The following is a 20,587-nucleotide window of genomic DNA, read 5'->3' on the forward strand; positions in this document are numbered from 1 at the left end:
ATATGGCTAGACTGTTTTCCCAGCACCATTTATTAAATAGGGAATCCTTTCCCCATTGCTTGTTTTTCTCAGGTTTGTCAAAGATCAGATAGTTGTAGATATGTGGCATTATTTCTGAGGGCTCTGTTCTGTTCCATTGATCTATATCTCTGTTTTGGTACCAGTACCATGCTGTTTTGGTTACTGTAGCCTTGTAGTATAGTTTGAAGTCAGGCAGCGTGATGCCTCCAGCTTTGTTCTTTTGGCTTAGGATTGACTTGGCGATGCGGGTTCTTTTTTGGTTCCATATGAACTTTAAAGTAGTTTTTTCCAATTCTGTGAAGAAAGTCATTGGTAGCTTGATGGGGATGGCATTGAATCTATAAATTACCTTGGGCAGTATGGCCATTTTCACGATATTGATTCTTCCTACCCACGAGCATGGAATGTTCTTCCATTTGTTTGTATCCTCTTTAATTTCATTGAGCAGTGGTTTGTAGTTCTCCTTGAAGAGGTCCTTCACATCCCTTGTAAGGTGGATTCCTAGGTATTTTATTCTCTTTGAAGCAATTGTGAATGGGAGTTCACTCATGATTTGGCTCTCTGTTTGTCTGCTATTGGTGTATAAGAATGCTTGTGATTTTTGTACATTGATTTTGTATCCTGAGACTTTGCTGAAGTTGCTTATCAGCTTAAGGAGATTTTGGGCTGAGACAATGGGGTTTTCTAGATATACAATCATGTCATCTGCAAACAGTGACAATTTGACTTCCCAACTTTCATTTACGTTACCTGCAAACTCAATAGAGGCTGAAAAATTTGTTGCCTATTTAATGAATTCATCAACAAATGCTGATTGAATGACTGCTCTGGGCTGGTCAAAAAGGGTCACAGGCGAGTGAGACAAGTGCAGAAAGGAGGATGATGCAGGTGGGTGGGGCCCAGGAGTGGCAGGTGGCTGTGGGGACCTAACTGGGCTTATTGAGAGGCACACAGCCAGTGCTCAATAATGCTAACGGTAAAAGAGTAATATTGATTTATTATACATTTAATTCTTTACAGATAAGTGTGATATGGCTGTCCCAAAAAGCTTGCTCAGTTGTAAACTAGGCCATTGGTCTGCAGTACCAAAAAGTCAATTTGGGGAACCACCTTCTGTGAGACATTAACAAACTGTAACCCATTTGGGCAAGGCTGCCACGGAGCCAGGAGCAGCCTCACAGGAGGCTGAGGAGGGGCATTAAGCCTCCAGAGAAGAGACCCACAAGAGGATGTCACAGGCCGCCTGTTCAGCTACACTAAGCAGCTCCCAGGAGTGGGTCTCAAGCCATGAGTGCATGTTTCAGGGAGGCAGTTTTAAGCCTCACGTAAGGAAGAACTTTTTAAAAATTCCTCTCTTCCTAAACAACCTTCCTGAAAGATCTGAACTTTTTGCCACTTAAGTTGGACACCTGCCAAGGAAGGAAGGTGTGCGGAACCCATTCCAGTAGTGGGAAAGAGGTTTGGTGACTAGGCTTTAAGTTCCTTTTCAGCCTAAGATTCTGTGGGGCTAAGAAGACGAGTGACTTTTTGTCTAAGTATCTTTTCAGTGTGGCATTTGTAACATTGCTCATCTCTATGAAATGGAATGATCCATTTCCTATCAAGTGAATTTGGGGCATCAGTTCTCAGTTTTGACACAATGACTTGGGCAGATTATTAAATCACATTATGTACTGGTCTGCCTGTACATGGCCCAATTTAACCCTCGAAGGTGGCTATGGGGTGGGGAACCGCCAATTATAATCTACAATCTCTTTTGCTAACTAGCATTCCACTGGTCAGGGAAGTTCCAGACAGCTGCTGGGGACAGCCAAGCTTTCCTCTCGGCCCAGCACGCAGCTGTTCAGGAAGGGATGCTCTCTTCCTTTGAGCCCTTCCCCCTACCCTCCATTCTCTGCCTCCTCTATATCTTGACTCTTCTCTCTGCTCCTGATGGTACCATGCACAGTTGATATTTTCTGTCAATTTAATCCCATTTTAGGTGGTATTTCATATTTTCCTACCCTCACTAAAACCTCCTTAAACATTCAGTAAACTATATTTTCATAACGGGTTTTCACGTCCAGCCTGAATCACTCCCTGACCACCCAAGTAAGCTCGTTGACTTACTTTTCCATCTTTGTATGCTCAGTGCAAAACATAGGTCCAGGTTTATAATAGGTGCTCAATACATAATAGTAGATGAAATAAATGACCTACCTTTTCTGACACATGGGAATGCCTTTCTATATTCTTATTTTTGGTAGTGAAGTTTCTGATAAAACGTATCCAGGGAAACACGTTGCTAATAGAAGTATCGCACACGTTAGGCATAAAAGCTGTACCCTTTTTTAAGTGCCACAGAGGACTAATAACTGTTAGTTTGCAATCACAGACTACAAAAGAAATGATTGCATGAATAGCTGAGATTCCAGGTGTTAATTCAATAGCAAAAAAATGTGTGTGTCCTTGTACTTTAGTTTCTGATGGTTAGGAGCTGATGTGTACTTGCTTTTGAATTCACTAAAATCAGATTCAAGACCTTCTATAAATCTGTAGACTCAAAGGAATGGAAAATGCCCCCAAAGGTCACCTGGCACAAACCCTGCCTTTAGGCAGAACAAGATATAAAACTCCTTGTCGACTGTCTATCCTTTAAAAACCTGTCTCAAGGAGAATATTTTTAAGTATTTTCTTTTTCTTTAACCTCGGAAACGCTTTTCCTGAGGGTCAGTCCTTATGGCTCCATTACACATGATGAAAAATTCTCCCCTGCCATATTGTAAGATCATTTCCATTTGCTCTGTCCTCAGCAGAGCAGGAAAACATTGGTCAGCTTCCTCCGTATCATGTCCCTTAATACACTTAATAAATCCGCCCTGAGCTCCCTTTTCCTCAGACTTCATAAATCCAATTCCTCAAGCCGATCCTCACAGATCAGTTTTGCAACCCTTTAATCATTTTAATAATTTTTGTCACTCTCAGTTGAATCATTTCCAATTTATCTGTAGCCTACTTTTTTTCCCCCTCAATTAAACACCATGGTAATGCAAAACGGACCAGAGCTAAGAATAGGAAAGTTTCACAGTTCTTGAGTGTTATAATTCCTTTTTTTTTTTTTGGAGATGGAGTTTCACTCTTGTTGCCGAGACTGGAGTGCAATGGTGCGCTCTTGGCTCACCACAACCTCTGCCTCCCAGGTTCAAGTGATTCTCCCGCCTCAGCCTCCCAAGTAGCTGGGATTACAGGCATGCGCCACCATGCCCAGCTAATTTTGTATTTTTAGTAGAGACAGGGTTTCTCCATGTTGGTCAGGCTAGTCTCGAACTCCTGACCTCAGGTGATCCGCCAGTCTTGGCCTCCCAAAGTGCTGGGATTACAGGCGTGAGCCACCATGTCTGGCCGGGTGTTATGATTCTATGACAACATCACAGAAACATTTTGGTATCTAAAGACTTTTCTTTTTTTTTTTTTTAAATTAGAAGAGCACCAGAAAACTTTTTCACCTCCTGTTCTTGGGCAACACTACCTTCCAGATCTTTCTCAGCAGTGCTTGAGAAAAAGCACTTAGTCCTAGTGTTAGCTGTTTATTCATCCTCGCAGAGAGAAAATGATCCATTCTGAGATCAAAAAGAATGGCAAAGCCTCGAAAAAGAGAGGTAAGAAACTCAAGGCTTTTAGAGCCAGGGAGGAGCCTGGAGAATAGGGGGCAGCCAGGTGGGCATGGTGGCAGATTGGAAGCACCTGTGCTGTTTAAAGGAGGGGATGGCCTTTCATGTTAAGCTGATTTTTTTCTTCACATGAGAATGCCCATCTAGTGCACCAGGAGCTTCCTTTGGGGGGAAAAAAAGAAAAAAAGGCTGGGCACGGTGGCTTACACCTGTAATCTCAACACTTGGTGAGAGGCCGAGGAGGGTGGATCACAAGTTTAGGAGTTCGAGACCAGCCTGACCAACATGGTGAAACCCCGTCTTTACTAAAAATACAAAAATTAGCTGTGTGTGGTGGTGCGCGCCTGTAATCCCAGCTACTCAGGAGGCTGAAGCAGGAGAATTGCTTGAACCCAGGAGGCAGAGGTTGCAGTGAGCCGAGATTGTGCCACTGTACTCCAGCCTGGGTGACAGAGTGAGACTCCATCTCAAAAAAAAAAAAAAAAAAAAAAAAGTTAAGCCACAAATCGATATTTTAAATTTAAATATAAAATGGCTTAATTAATCCATTGTGCAGCTCAACCCTGTGTGGGCTCAAAAAGGTGCAAGCAAGGTTTTGCCCATGGGCTCCTGCATTCATGCCCTTGCCAGGAGGCTAATCCTCTACCGTCCTTATGATTTCTATAAGAAATTTCTGAAGACATATGCATCGTTGAGAGGCATGTTCTTTACACATGAACACTTTTATAAAATTGTGTTTTAAGAGGAGATTTTAAAGGGCAGGAACCTAGGCTCTTTACTCTCTAATGATGAAATTCCAGATGCAGTGGCTACTAAAAATGACACAAATTTGTGGAGATGAACCTTCTTGATGCTTTGTAATAACTCAACCATCACAGGATGTGCGGTATCATGAAGCGTGATTGTCCCTGAGATCGCCAGTGAGGCATCGTGAAGTGTGACTGTCCCTGAGGTCGCCAGTGAGGCATCGTGAAGTGTGACTGTCCCTGAGGTCGCCAGTGAGGCATCGTGAAGTGTGACTGTCCCTGAGATCCCCACATCAAGTTGTTGTTTCCAGTTAATCTGAGACCAACGCGAAGCCCATTGAAGAAATGCACCCACTTGTGCTTAGTATTCTAATTTTCAAACCCAGCAGGTTCAATTCCCTTACAAAGGTTGGTCTAGGATAGAGTTCTGGGTATAGAAAGGCAATTTAACCAAAATGCTTTACCCTAATTACACAGCAAAGCTATTTGCATAAGTAACCAGTCTGGGTATTAAGAGACCCAAGAGAGTCAATGTTACTCCAGCAGAAGTTATGTTTTTGCTAACCTTCAAGAAAATAATAGCAAGTCAAGACTTCCAATGTTCTATTTGTAAAAGCAAATGATAGAGGATATAATCCTTTATCATTTGAATGAAATATGTTGGAAAGAGATTGGTCTCCATTGGAAGTGGGCTGAAAATGGCCCTCCTTTCCCCTGTGGCCATTTTTGCAGGAGAGGGTGTTGACCGTATTGAGCGTGGATAAGGGAAATAGTTTTTGTTATATCAAAAGAAGCCAGTCCAGACATGATTTTCTTCTTCCAATATGGAAGATGCTATTTTTAAAGAGGCCACTGATCTTTTGTTTGCTATAGAAAATGAAGTAATCTCTTAGGGTAATGGACTCAAACTATAACAAAGGACAGGTTATCTTAAAATTTGATAAGACATTTCTAACAGGTAAACAATGACATCGTTTACTAGGAAGAAAAATAAATGTTCTTTGTGGAGATTTTTAAAAATAGACAAAACAATCACCTGAAGAGATTGGCCTATGAGGCTTAAATCACGGCACTGCAGGAGCAGTTCAATTTGTCAGATTGGAAATATGATGTAAGTTTAAAAAATAGAGGAAAATAAACACAATCTAGATTGCTGCTACATATATAGTTCAGATGATTTAAACTTTTGCAACAAAATGATGCTTGGTATTTATCAGTTTTCCCTTCCAATAGAATATAAACCGCACGAGGCCTAAGACTGTGATGTCAACTGGAAACAAATCCCTTCATTTCTAGACTCCTGGGGAATTGGCAATAAGGATAAAGAAAATAAGTATTATGAAGGATGAGCAAAATAATAATGCATCTTTCATGGACTCCACAGCCATATCTGACACCGTTATTTCTGTGAAAGGTTTTAGCCCATGACAATTGACTGGACACGTTAGGAATTATGGTCATACTGTCACCATCTATTCAAGAACACCCAGCCCTCATGACATGAGCAAATAACAGCACTGACCTGCCTAAGTGACCAGACAATCCTTTAAAGGAGTATCACTAAATTGCAGCATTCCAAGGCCAGGGGTCAAGATGAAAAAGAACGATCCAGACTGCAAGTTGCCAGGTTACTGCAGAATGAAAGTGGCAGATGGGTTGATCTTAGGAAAAAAAAAAAAATCTGCTAACTGGTGCAGAAAACATTAGTCTGGGAGAAGAATATCTCACTTTAGCGGAGACAGCTCCCGCAGTTCCATTCATTACGATCCGCGGGAAGGCTAGACTTGCTGTGAGGGTTCAGCCAAGGCTCAGGCCCACGTTTCCCCCTAACACAGACACACATGTGCACACACACCTACATTGTTGTCACTGTATGCAGAATCTCCTGCCAAGAGCCAAAGTGACAAAAATTATACAGTAGCTTGATGGGAATAAGAACACAAGTGTACCTAATCTATTCAATGTAAGTCTGAAAATGGAAAGAGGTCTACAAAGAACAGTATTACTAAAACAGTAACAGAGGTGGTTTCATTTTTATTAGTAAAAAATGCTCTAAAGCCTCTGACTGCTGCAAATATGATAAAACAGCACATCCCAAGCTCAGAAAAATGGTTTAAAACAACTCTAAGGAAATGACCCCCCCCTGAAAATCAAATGGAAGTGGAAACACACTTGGCCAAAAAGGGAGGCTCTGGTGCATAAGACAATATAATAAAATTATAGGGAAACAATATGATAGAAATGAATCTGATGAAGTGTATTGCTATTGTAAGTAAATTCATGCGGAGAAGTATTGAACAAACCACAAGAAGGGACACCTCGTTGGTAGGGATGACACCTTTGACGTGCTAACAACTGCTCATTTCTCACGGTCAACAGAGCGGGCTTCCTTTCAGGTCACCATATTGAACACACCTGGCTTGGACTGAAATTCCTGGTGAATTGGTATACAAGGTTTGTCATTAACTCTGCACCCAAAATAACCACACAACCAAGAGGAAGCTCTTTCTACCTTTTAATGTTGTGAGATGATTGTTCTACACGAGGAGAAAACAATCACGTGTGACTATGTAGAGCAAACGCGGAGAGGCAAGTGCCCCTGACTCTTACTTGCCGTCCTCCTGGCCTCCCTGGTGCACACAGCTATGGGGGCTGGAAGTTAGCATAATTACTTCCAATTAAATTAAGGTGGCACAGCTTTTTCCCCTTTCTCTTTGAATAGCTGTAGGCTTAAGAAACAATATCCGTGCTGATGATATTCCATAACAATATGGTTTCATCAATACTGCTAGGTGTAAGAACTTTGGGAGTCATACATTAACCTGCCTTCCTCTTGCCTCTCAGAGAAATGCCCATCTGGCCTCCACAGAACCACTCTTGCCACGGTTTCGATTTCTCAGGTCAGGACCAGGACAAGTTCCACTCACTTAGGAAAGCAGATGTTTAGGAGTTTCCTATTTGGCGACTCATGAAAATGATAGACTGGTTTCTAGAAATAAAAATTTGGCTGCCTCTTAAGCTATTACATTCTCAAACTGTGACGGGATATTCCCATTTGAGCTTAAAGATACATGTTTTGTTTGTTTGCTTGCTTTGTTTTTTGAGATGGGGTCTCGCTCTGTCACCCAGGCTGGAGTGCAGTGGTGCGATCTCAGCACACTGCAACCTCCGCCCCCCGGGTTCAAGTGATTCTCCTGCCTCAGCCTCCCGGGTAGCTGGGACTACAGGTGCATGCCACCACGCTTGGCTAATTTTTTTTATTTTTAGTAGAGACGGGATTTCACCATGTTAGCCAGGATGGTCTCGATCTCCTGACCTCGTTCGTGATCTGCCCGCCTCAGTCTCCCAGAGTGCTGGGATTACAGCACATTTTTTTTTTTTTTTGAAAGAGCCCTTTCTGCTTTTTTTCATTTGTTTACAAGATAAATTTTTGAAGGTAAATGTGGGCAAGGAGGTAAACAAACTGAGCCACTACATGAAGGAACCCGAAGTTGGACTCCTTCTAGGAGGTGATTTTCTACCTGAGCATGCTGTACGGGCCTTGCTGCTGCTGTTGTTTTTAACTTAAGAATGACTTTCCCCTGTAAGACATCTCATGAGAAGGCGGGGAAAGCACTACTTTACAACGAGCATGGGAGGTGGGCTTATCTCCCAGATCCATCACTGAAAGCTGGGCTATCTTGGGGAAATTATTTAACTTTCCTGACCTTTTGTTCCCTCCTCTATAAAATGGTGACAAATAGAATACCTTCCTGACAGGGTTGTAGAGAGGACTAATTGAGACAACCAACGTGCCAGCATTTTGGGAATCATTAAGGTCTATGAAAAGTTGGTGGTTGTGTAACTGTAACAGCTGTATTTTAGGACCCCAGGAATTACGATCTTCTCAAAGCAGAAATGTATTTCTTTGTAACCTTATTATCTAGTATATTTCCTGGTGCAACTAGGATCTCAGGAACTGTAAATAAACAATAGATTTAAAGAACAAATGACTGAATGAATGAGAGAACCAAAGAAAAAGGAGTAGAGAGAGTGGAAAAAAACAAAACAAAACCCCAGAGTCCTTGCTTTCTCAAGATTTCTGCAAATGAAAGATATTTATTTATCCAACTGGGCAAGGACTCTTTAGGCAGGTTGCACAGACAGGAGTTGGATGGTGAATGTGGTCATGATCTTGAGAAACAAACCGGGTCTGAGCTGCAGGACAGGGTCAGACCATATAAGGCTGGGACTGGGACTCTGAACAGTTTTTTGGGGGTAAAGTTTTATTTTGAGGAGTGATAGGGGTTATGGGGAAAAAGGGTGAAGAAGGCAAGGTTTTAAAACAGAATAAAACCAAGGCCAGCTATTTTGAGGATGAGCTTGAACAGATCTGAACGCGAGGGACAAGGTGACAAAAAGCAAGAGAGGGTTAAGGATCTGCGTCTGTGACTCACGCTGGCTTAGGAGGGAGGTGATGGGTGGGGAGGAAACTGGAGTTGGGGGATAGCCGTTTGTCCTGATGATTAGAGGCTGGTATCTGGGACCTCATTGTAAAGAGACTAGGTCCAGGGAAAGGGGACCCAGTGACTAGGGGCTGAAAGAAAACTTTGTTGCTGTGGGAACCAGGAGACCAGAAGGGCTCTGGTTCCAGGAGGACTGCGGGGAGGCCAGGAACCCACCCCTTGAAAACTGCACTAGGAAGTCCAGAGCGGCAAGCTCCTTAGTGCTGCCGTCATGGTGCCTACTACGGAGTCCTCTGGGTTCCTCTCCCCTGAAGCCAAGGGTGTCCCCTGGTCTCAAGCAGCACTGAACTTTGAGGTGGCAGTTGAGAGGCCCAATTGTTAGTTAAAGATGGGCCAGGGGGAATATCTTCATCACAAGATGCATAAAAGCGACTCTATACATGTCTTATTTCCTTTAAAAAGCATGAGGCCAACGTGCAGTGTCTTCCAGGCTGTTTTCTAAATTGTGCCATGAAAGGGCACATTCACACTACTGACATGTCCTGCTTTTATTGTTACACCTTCCTCCAACTGCATCTACTGAACATCTATTATATGCATAGTACCAACGAGAAATCAGCATCCAACTGTTTTCCCCCTTCCTGTTATCTGAAAACACAGAACAGCGTTAGATAATTTAAAATGAAAACAGCAAAAGTGACCAATAATAACACCGTATTAACCTGGTTAAGTTTTCTGGATTCTGGATTTCTTGTGAGTTTTTATCCATGTACATATATTTTTGTAATATTGTACTCATAGTAAATGTAATTTTGTGGAGCTTATTCTTATATGACTACACTGCCTTTAGAGATGAATCTTAATTTTCAGGCATTTGGTTGTGGGATGCTTAGGCTATGAGAAGCTGGATCTCAACATTTAAAGCAGGATCATTTAAAATGAGGAGTCAATTGTGTTACTTCACATGTGTTTCATTTGAAACAGTATATCGTTATGCTACTATGATAACTACAGCAAATCCTCCTTAGGACTGATTTAAGCATTGAATAAATAAAGTTAAAATTGAGTACACTGCCATTTTCAGTGCTTCTTGACTTCTACACACTTATCAACTACTACAAATCTGATGGCATCCACTTTCCAGTGGGTTAGCTTTCACCTCGACAGGTCTCAAGGTTCTTCTTATGGGATTTTAGTCCATGGCAATCACCACCATTTGAGCACAGTCACCTAGTATAGCTGGATATTTAAAGAAAAGAAAAAAAAGAGAAGCTAATGGCTTTTCACACATGCACTGAAAAAAATTAATAACCTGATAATTTCTGGCAAAGGAGAAAATTTTTTTTCCTTATAAGACTGCAAAGTTCAACATTATGTGATTTATCTCAGTGACCTGTAAGTAGTGCCTATAATTATTAAAAATAACCATCAAGCTGGCTTTTAAGAAGCTTCATTATGGTACTGCTAATACAATGCCCAACTCCATTACTTTTTTCTATATAACCTTAAAACAGAGCCAGTTCATTCCTAGTGTTTCCAAAGTGTTACTTTAAGAAGAAAAGTGGGCCAGGCGCAGTGGCTCACGCCTGTAATCCCAGCACTTTGGGAGGCTGAGGTGGGTGGGTCACCTGAGGCCAGGAGTTTGAGACCAGCCTGTCCGACATGGTGAAACCCCATCTCTACTTAAAAAACAAAAACAAAAACAATCCGCAAAAATTAGCTGGGTGTGATGGCGGGTGCCTGTAATTCCAGCTACTCGGGAGGCTAAGGTAGGAGAATTGATTGAACCCAGGAGACAGAGGTTGCAGTGAGCCAAGATTGCACCACTGTGCACTCCAGCCTGGGTGGCAGAGTGAGGCTCCTTCTAAAAAAAAAAAAAAAAAAAAAAAAAAGAAGAAGAAGAAAGAAGAAAGAAGAAGAAGAAGAAGAAAAAGAAGAAAAGTGGGCTAGGTATGGTGGCTCACGCCTGCAATCTCAACACTTTGGGAGGCCGAGACTGGTGGATCACCTGAGATTAGGAGTTCGAGACCAGCCTGGCCAACGTGGTAAAACTCCATCTCCACTAAAAAACAAAAACTAGCCAGGCATGGTGTCGCATGCTTATAATCCTAGCTATTCAGGAGGCTGAGGCAGGAGAATTGCTGAAACCTGGGCAGTGCGGGTTGCAGTGAGCCAAGATCGCACCACTGCACTCCAGCCTGGGTGACAGAGCAAGACTCAATCTCAAAAAAAAAAAAAAAAAAAAAGAAAGAAAAAAGAAAAGTACAGGAACATGACTCTTAAATAAGCCACCATTTCAGTGGATGCATTTATTGAATTGATGCTTTCAGTAAGTTGTTTCTCATTGTATGCATCATGTTAAAAGTTGTATTTAATCCACAGGTTTAATGATTAATTTCTTCCAGTTAGGGTAAAAATATAGTATTATAGAGTTTATAGTAATAGTGTTGATTTCAACTTACGATGGAGTAAACAGGTTTTGTAATTGCCTTGGGAAAGCCAGAACAGAAAAAGTAATTCTATCAGCAACATGGAAGCAAAATGAGTAGATGACTTCTTTTATCTGGGAAGCACATTTTCAATCACGAGTTCATGATTGACAAGTGTGAGTTTGTTTGGCTGGGGCAGGGTTCCGTGTGACTGACCTATCTTTTTAGGTTCATTCGTGTTGACCAATCTTTATGGATCTGGGAGCAGTAAGTCAACCTAGAATCACCAAATTTGGCTACTTATATGGTGACATCACAGCGCACCAAAACGTACATCAAAACCACTGAATCTGTTGGTTTCATGGGGTTCTGCTTGGGTAAGGACCCAGCCACACAGTTATAAGATGAAATCAAGAGTTGAGGTGCTAGGCCGGGCGTGGTGGCTCACACCTGTAATCCCAGCACTTTGGGAGGCCAAAGCAGGCAGATCACAAGGTCAGGAGATCAAGACCATCCTGGCTAACACGGTGAAACCCTGTCTCTACTAAAAATACAAAAAATTAGCCGGGCATGGTGGCGGTCGCCTGTAGTCCCAGCTACTCAGGAGGCTGAGGCAGGAGAATGGTGTGAACCTGGAAGGCGGAGCTTGCAGTGAGCCGAGATCGCGTCACTGCACTCCAGCCTGGGTGACAGAGTGAGACTCTATCTCAAAAAAAAAAAAAAAAAAAAAAAAAAGAGTTGAGGTGGTAGTTGCACAAACCTACCTGTGATAAGTAGAGCTATACGCATACACTGTAGCAAAGTCAATTTCCTGGTTTTGGTACTGTACTCTAGCTATGCAAGAGGTAGCCATTTGGAAAAAGCTGGTGAAGGGTACCTGGGACCTTTCTGTGCTATGTTTACAACTTCCTGTGTATCCATAACTATTTCAAAATAAAAAGTAAAGCACACATGAAATCAAGAGGACTATTATTTCCTCGGGGAGACTGGCAGAAGTTGGCTGCACAGTGGCTTCAAGCTGGAGGGAGATTTGGCTTCTATGAGGGCATGTGCGAGTCTAGCTCTCCAGATACCTTAGATGAAGGCCACTGGCCTGGGGATGGGGCCGGGGGCACTCACTGCCTCCCTCACTGGCAGCTGGACAGTGACTCCACACCATGGGGCCGGGGAGGTGGCAACATAGGTGCATGAGAGGGGGACTGCCCCCACCCTGCATATCTGCTGGCGCTGAAATTCTCTCAGGACAGCTCAGCCCTGCTTTCCAGAAGATGAGAGGACTTCACAAAGCTGCCCACTGCCACTGAGCAAACAGAATGTCCTGTGCAGGGAAAGCAGCAGAAGGGCCCAGAAACAGCCAGTAGCCAGGCGTGGTGGTGGGCGCCTGTAGTCCCAGCTACTTGGGAGGCTGGGCAGCAGCCTGGGCAGCAAGGTCAAGTGCAGGCTGCTGTGGCACTGGGCGCTGCCCCTGGCTGTGCAATCCCAGGGCTCTGGGTGAGAGCTGAACCGAGGCTCACATCTGCCCTTGCTGGGTTCCACCACCTTCTGGCAAAGAGCATTATTGGTTCAATGTTAATGCCACGGCCTCCCCCTAGCAGCACAAGCCCAGCCTCCGCTCACCCAGCCCCCTAGTGAGGTGAACCACGGCTCCTGTCCAGGGGCCCATTGCAAGTTTCCACACATCCTCCTGCCTGCTGCAGAGGGCCGGCGGTGTGCCTTGATACTTGGCTATGCATCCCATCCACCTCTAGCAGCCCCTGGCAGCTGCCTTGCACAGAAGAGTCACCTGGTGAACACTGACTGAATTGAGTCAAATAGAAAGCAGCTCTCACTCAGAGAGCAGCCCTCCACACCAATGTCAGGGAGAGGAAGGCTGAGCACAAGAGAATCTCCCTCTGTCCACAGAAATGCCTGAGCATGGAACTCTGGGAAAACTGCACTCGTGTCCAGATGCAAGTAAATGATAAACTCCTCGAGACTTCAGACAGAGAGCATAGACATTTATAGCGCAATGTACTTGTAACACCCAGAGACAATAAGCCCTCTTGCCAAGTCTTTGCTTTGGGAGTATAGGCTAATTGAGGGAGATTGCACTGTTAGTGAAAAAAGTGGAATGTTTAATACCAAGTAGGGAGGGGGTCTGCCTTTCCAAGCTGGGGAAGTAGGGAGGAGAGAGGAGGTTTGTGTGGATGGTGCTGTTCAAGGTTCCCCTCTGAATCCTGCTCACCTTTAAATACCTCTGGCAGGCCTGCATAAAGGGCCCATTTCCCTTCCTCATCTAGTCGAAAATACCAGCAGGATTGCTCTGAATGAGGAGACAGGAGCCTCCATTAAAATGCAGACGCCAATTACTCTGCAGGATGGGCACTAAGCTTATCCTCCAGACTTTTACTGGTCTAGCAATTTGATTAGTATCAGGGTAGTAACATATCTCCCTCCAAAGCGTGGAGAGCTCAGAGGGGAGGGATATAGTGAAAGACAGGTGGATTCAGCATGATCAGATCTGGATGGGCTGAGCCCAAGGAGAATGTGGGCTGGAGATCAGGAATAGGCAGGTGTGATGGAGAACTTACAAGGGTACCATGAAAGGGAAGAGATATAAACAAGCAAAAAGATATGAGCTTATCTGTTACGTATTTCTTTACAATTTTACATAAGGTTAGTCCTTATGGTGTACTAGAATAATTTCCATTTATGTGCAAGGTAAGATCATTTTTACATTTAGCCATCATCTTCATTGACGATGCAATTCTTAGAGTACCTTAGAGAATCTAGAGGAAATAGAGTGGTGGCCTTCAGCGCATTCCTCCATCTTATTCTCCTGCCCACACCCAGGACCAGAAGAAGAACACATTGTCATTCAGTCTGAAACCACCTCAAAGAAGCAGGGTTTGGTAACAATTAGAAGGTGAAAGAGAAAAATCACCTAAGCTGATCTAATTTCTTTCTAAAGGGAGGAAGTGTATTAATTGAGGGTGGGGAGGAGGAATAGCTTGAGGAAACTTGTGTTTCCAAGAAACAGCCTCACCAGTAGAGATTGTCTGTGGTTTGCCTGTTCTTGCTGTAGGCAGGTGCACAGTTGATGGAAGGCCATGCTTATGAGTCTTCGATGACAAATGATGGGTACATGATGGGTTGAAACTCTCCTGAGCTTTCTTCACTTTCTTGGCTTCTCTCTATGCTCAAATCTCTCTATGCATTTTTTTTTTTTTTTTGAGAAAGAGTCTTGCTCTGTCGTCCAGGCTGGAGTACAATGGCGTGATCTCAGCTCACTGCAACCTCTGCCTCCTGAGTTCAAGTAATTCTCCTGCCTCAGTCTCCTAAGTAGCTGGGATTACAGGTGGCCATCACCAGGCCCGGCTAATTTTTTTTGTATTTTTAGTAGAGATGGGGTTTCACCATGTTGGCCAGGCTCATCTCAAACTCTTGACCTCAGGTGATCCACCCACCTCGGCCTTTCAAAGTGCTGGGATTACAGGAGTGAACCCCTGTGCTCAGCCAATAGTTAATTCTTTATTTTGAAATATTCTAGGAGGAGGAAAAAAAAATCTGACCATATCCAAAGGTTAGTAGTTAATAGCTAAATATCAACAAAGAGGATACAGCTAAAGATTCCCTAAAGTTTGAGTCCTGGGTCTTATTTAATTGGTGACTTGAATAACATATTTGAAAGTAGGCTCATGAATCTACAGATGAATCTTCAAAATACCTTTATTATGATAAAAGAGAAATCCAATGCTGATGAGTAGGCTTGACTTATGATGAGAAAGCTGTTCTTCCAAATCAAAATGTAGTGAAGACATTTTACATAAAGACACAAGAAACTCCGCATAGTCATCTTTGTATCACAGATGCTTACCTAGTATCTGACATAGGGTCAATACCCATAAATGCTTCTTGAAATCAGGGTTCAGTTAGACACAAAGCTACAGAGCTTAATTAAACATATAACAAGATCATTGGTCATTATTACGAATAAACTCATGTTTACTGGCCTCTTCTCCCGTATGTGAAGAGGGATTTCTTATTAATCCCGGGTCTTAAATGAGTTTGTCCTCAGCAGGATCTCAAAGTCATAAGAGAGCTACAAAGATTGACAATTATTAGACAGTGTCAGAGTTGGAGGTGAGTCTTAGGTTGGGTTGATGAAGCAGGAGACTTCTAGTTCTCAAGAAAATGAAGAATAAGAGAGTGACAAACAGTGACCATATATGAGCAACGTATTACCCATTTGCCTACATATATTCATTTTGCACTATATGGAATTACATATTTTTCATTTCCAAGAATTTGTTGCTCATCCATTGTTGCAGGTCTGACAAATTACCGAAAGCAAAGCATAAAATTAGGATAGAAATCCCATTGTGTTAAAGTTCCATGGAAATTATGCAGAAACTCAACTGCACAGAAGAGTGCATTAAAGATACAGTGGTTGCCCTGGGGAAGCTTGCTTTCTTCTTAAGTATTAAACATGTCATTTTCATATTTGAGCAAAAACCTGAATAAACTCTGCCCTCAAAGAAATGAAAGATAACCACTGACTGTGCACTTCATATAAGCTTCACTGCTACATTTTAAAGTATCCTGAATAGTCCCATGATGTTAAGATAGCAACACTTTATTATACACATTACTAACGTGGCAAGCTCTGAAGGTCAGGGAGTGGCTGGCTGGTCTTCAGCTTGACCCATTTGGGAGGTCCATTTTCATCTTTGGATTATCTGGCCTCTCAGTTTGATTACTGGGGCCATAAACAGCTTTCCCGTGAGAGCTGAGGTGAACATTTCTTGCTCATTAGGCCTCTTCCAGACAAGCCTCCCTTGCATGCAATGAATATGCACTTGATGCCCAGTGAACATGCACTTGATACTCAATCATTGTTCTTGACTTGACATTCTGGTTGATTATCAGACATGTAATCCATCAGAACAGAGATGCAAACTGAGGATCTTGAATTTTGTTAGTTTCATTCCAGAGAAAGCTCTGTTGGGGCTGGGAGGGGTGGCAGAACGGATGTGGACGGCGAATATTGATGCGGTGTGTGTGTATATAATGTTCTCCTGGGAGAGGTGTTTCTTAAAAAGCCGAGTTGGTTTTCAACGTGATATTTAACCGAATGCTGCCAAATTGTGCTACCTCCCCAGCACGTTAAAAAAATCCATTAATAAAGTGTTTGTTGTTGTCAGAATGCCTATTCCAAAGCTTGGGCTGTGTGAAGGGCTGACTCCCCACAAGAGACCGATGACAGGCGAGGGAGGTAGAGGAGAGGGCTGAAGATGGATATGTGCTGCCTTGCTGACAAGTGGTGAGGACAAGCGAGGCGATGGATCAGTAGAATTTTCCATTAAATCAAGAAAAACACAACTTGCCCCCCAACATCACCTCTGATGGTTTCTTAGACCAGCTGCTTCTCTGACTCCCTACTGAGGAACAAATTGCTTTCCTGGCGGGACATTTGGACACTCCTGCATTAATAGATATGGATCCCAGCATGCCAAGCCAAGCAAGAAGGCAATTTAATATGAGCAACACTGTCATCTCAATTTAGGACAACAGCTAGAATGCCCTACAGGGCACTGCAACAGCTTCGAGAAGTACATGACAGAAGACATTCTCACTGTCTTGAGGCTAGAGAAAGCTGGTGTTTCTAGTAAACAGTCAGACCAAGGATAATAGAAAATGTAATGCAAAGATGACAGCAGCATTGTCCTATCTGTGAACATCAGTTTCAATTCATGTGTCTTTCCCTTCCGTAGTGAACGGAGGTCCTGTGTAGGGTACTTCCCTTCTATCTCAATCCCATCACAAAGACACAAACAAAAAGCCCAGTGACATCGTATCAATAAAGAAATAGGTAACATTAGATGACAGATGTTGTATACCTATGTTTGAGGAAGGTCAAAGTAAGAGGTAACTTCACGTTTGCATGTTCAAACTTACTTATCTATCTTTGATGCTATGCAAGACAAAATAAATGGAAGCCCTTTAAATTTCCACCTCCTAACACTAGCCTGTATGCAAGAAAAATATATTCTTGCTTTTTAAAAAAAAACTCTAAATGCATTATGTTTTGGTACATACTTTAATATTAGTTTCTATTTTATTTTTCCATAATAAAGACATGGTTGAATCCAGTGTATCTATTATGCTAAGATAATTTATGCTAGGATAATATTTTTGATAGGAATTCTCATAACAAATCAGCTTCATGTACCAATTACAAAATTGGGAGATAACTAAATTTTTATAAAACGTTTTGGCAATATCTACTGATACATCAGTTTATTTTAAGTCAGTGTGGTTTCTTATCAATCATATTGCCAGGGATTCATACATAAATTGAGAATAAAATATGTTCACATGTAACAAAAATACAAATGTATCTCCTGTTAGAGTCTCTCTAGATAGAGACAGAAAAAGTGACACAGTAGATTCACACTTGAGTTTGCTCACAGACAATGGCGATTCATATCAATTGCAATGCTTTTCATGGTGTCATTTTGCATTAGACACAAAATCGCAAAATAACTCAATTGGTCATTACCATGAACACTTCACCATGGAACTAGCTATGTGACAGCTCATAAGGCTATCATTATTATGTTGTCAAAAGTCCCTATTGCTAACATTTACTGTATGATGAAAAAGGTCTTTCCCCTATCTCATGTGTGTTTGATGAGGTGACATTGTTTTATAAATCAATTTCATGGAAAGTAAGTATTTATCTTAAAATGGTATCCTTTTATCTTTCTCTGTTCCTCCTCTTCTCCCTCCTGTTACTGTTTTTCTTCTTCTTTTGCAAAACATTTGAACACAGAAGCAAACCATTTTTCAAAATACCATCTGAGAAACCCATCAAGCATGGATAGCACCTGTGACCAGAGGAGAGCCTCTCAGCAAGAGAGAGACTGGGAATAACATTTCCCGTATCACTTGGGAAGTAAGAGGAAAAAAATGAACACAATTCAATCCATGAATTAAAAAAATTTTTTTTCCTATCCAGATAGTTCTCATTATTTTTTCATTAAATATTTTTTAACATAAAAATCCCTTGTTTCCACTATTTTCTATTTGTGAAAAGGCAAGAAAATAATACCAGCTTTCTGTGCATAGATCTATCACAGCACTTCCAAAAGGATGTTGGAATTATTTTAGATCGTGGACTCCCTGAGCAGCAAGGGTGGTCCAGTCTTGTATTTCCAGCACCCATGAAAAATGACTCCATATAATATTGGGCAGAAGTGCTCTGAATGAAATGCTCCCAAATAGAAAAAAATTGTTTTGTGTATCTATAGGAAGATATTTCAGAATTATATTTTATTTTTTTATTTTTCCAGAGACAGGGTCTCACTCTGTTGCCCAGGCTGGAGTGCAATGGCATGAACATAGCTCACTGTAGTCTCGAACTCCTGGGCTCAAGTGATCCTCTTGCCTCAGTCTCCCAAGTAGCTAGAACTACGGCTGCATGCCCCTGTGCTCAGCTAATTTTTTTTAGTATATTTGGTAGAAACGGGGCCTCACTATGCTGCCCAGGCTCAAAACTATCTTTAGACTCAACAATAGTTAAAACCAAAAATAGTTTAAATTGAAGGTTTTGAATTCCAGAGGGATTATGCTTTTCGGAGCTGAATTTCCTCAAACAACCGTAACCTCATCTGCTTGCATAGCATATAATATTTATCAAATACTAAACAAAAAATGGTGAATCTGGAGGTGAAGAGATATTTCTGCAAAGGAGTCTTGATGATTAAAAGTTTTCAAAATTATACCTTCACCTCTTATCAGTGCACAACATCGTAAGAGTTTGGAGGGAGACACTCATCTGCTTTCCTTCCCAATGAGTAGGTGTACGCAGGACGGAGCCTGTCAGAAGAGCAGGGCTGGCTGCTGTCCTTGCATCCGTTTGATGTAGGAGATCACAGGAAACAATGTGAAATTCTGCAGCCTGGTTTTAAAATTTCTTACATCTTTTACACATTTCAAAACATCAAATATGTTTGTTGTAGCTTGTTCTTACCTCTATTCTGCCTAAGCAAATGATATTTCATCTCTTAATGTGAAAATAAGATTTTTGAGTTGACACATTCATTCATTTTCTAAAAGGTGTGTGTGTGTGTGTGTGTGTATGTGTGTGTGAGTAGGGTTCTGTGTGAGATGGACGGGTGAAGCCATAAGGATATATAGTATAAAGCCATCCTTTATAAAACAGGACAACAAATCTTACACTAAAAATTTGCTCTGTAGAGTTGCAAGCCTCAGAAAGTTTAGGAGTGTCACCTGTCCTGTTCCTGGGCCTGGAGATGAGGGTCCACCTCTCCCAGGTCCTGAGGACTTTCCTCCTGGAGCCTAGCCTGCCAGTGAGTAGGCTGCTCTGATCTCTTCTCCCTGCACTCCAACATCTTGCTTTCAGCTTTGCCCTCTAAATACTGGAATAAAAGGGCCAACAGGTCAGGGATATTGGGAGCAGGAGAACTGTGGTGCTGCATGAATTTAAGGGATGTTTTTATTATAAGATCAGAGAAGGAAAAATGATCAGAAAGCAAAGAGAGGAAAAGTTTAGTTTATGAGAAGGCTGTAGGAGGCAGTTCCCGGAGCCTAAGTATTAAAATATGAACAGAGACAAGAGAACCTACCTGCACTTAGTATCCCTGTACTTGGGATCTTTGAAGGCTATACTATTTTAAAAAATTATTCTATTCAGCGCATTGCATCAGAAATGCTTCTATGTTAATCTGGAAATAGGTGTTCTAATTATAGATGCTAAAAATGTTCTGTATACTACTTGGCTATAGAATAGCCTACAGATATAATAAAAAATAATTATTTAAAGTAATTTTTGGAAAACAACCCAATAACTTAGATAATGTTATTAATATGGGTATCAAATATTTTAAATCTAATTATACCAATGTCTCAAATATATAACAAATATAACAGAAAAGATTAACTGAAAGATAGGTTTAAGTTGCCTGTAACCCAAATCTGTGTATATAAGCAATTTAGTATTGTGTATCTTCTAAAGACCACTGCTTGAATACAATTAAATGATCACTCACATATAATAGTGGGCTGATAAACCAGCTCTTTTCCAACCTTCCTAAAAAAAAAGGTCAGTCCCATAAATACTCTCATCACAGTCAGTTTCAAGCTGCCAACATGAAGTTGCTGAACATGGAGCTGGAAAAAGATGTGCATAACTGGCTCCTGTGAACCTGGTACAGCTGGCTCCAGCCTCCAGTAGACACTCATGTGTTCAGACACATGCATGTGCGTGCACACAAACACACCTGTTCAACAGA

The 20,587-nt window shown here is 41.9% G+C and overlaps 1 protein-coding gene across 6 annotated transcripts in view, besides 1 other annotated feature; it reads right to left on the bottom strand.

The window, feature by feature from the left end:
* The window catches only part of PRKN (parkin RBR E3 ubiquitin protein ligase), a 1,380,350-nt gene that overhangs the window by 158,323 nt on the left and 1,201,440 nt on the right, over nt 1-20,587 (bottom strand). The window lies entirely within an intron of this gene.
* Nucleotides 12,780-13,280: an enhancer, noted in NCBI's record as "H3K4me1 hESC enhancer chr6:161939551-161940051 (GRCh37/hg19 assembly coordinates)". NCBI's record gives its function as "activates a minimal SCP1, AML or CMV promoter by ChIP-STARR-seq in primed H9 embryonic stem cells {active_cell/tissue: H9 hESC(primed)}" and the evidence as "EXISTENCE:reporter gene assay evidence [ECO:0000049][PMID:30033119]".

Source organism: Homo sapiens, chromosome 6 (genome assembly GCF_000001405.40).
Source record: "Homo sapiens chromosome 6, GRCh38.p14 Primary Assembly".
Classification (NCBI taxonomy): domain Eukaryota; kingdom Metazoa; phylum Chordata; class Mammalia; order Primates; family Hominidae; genus Homo; species Homo sapiens.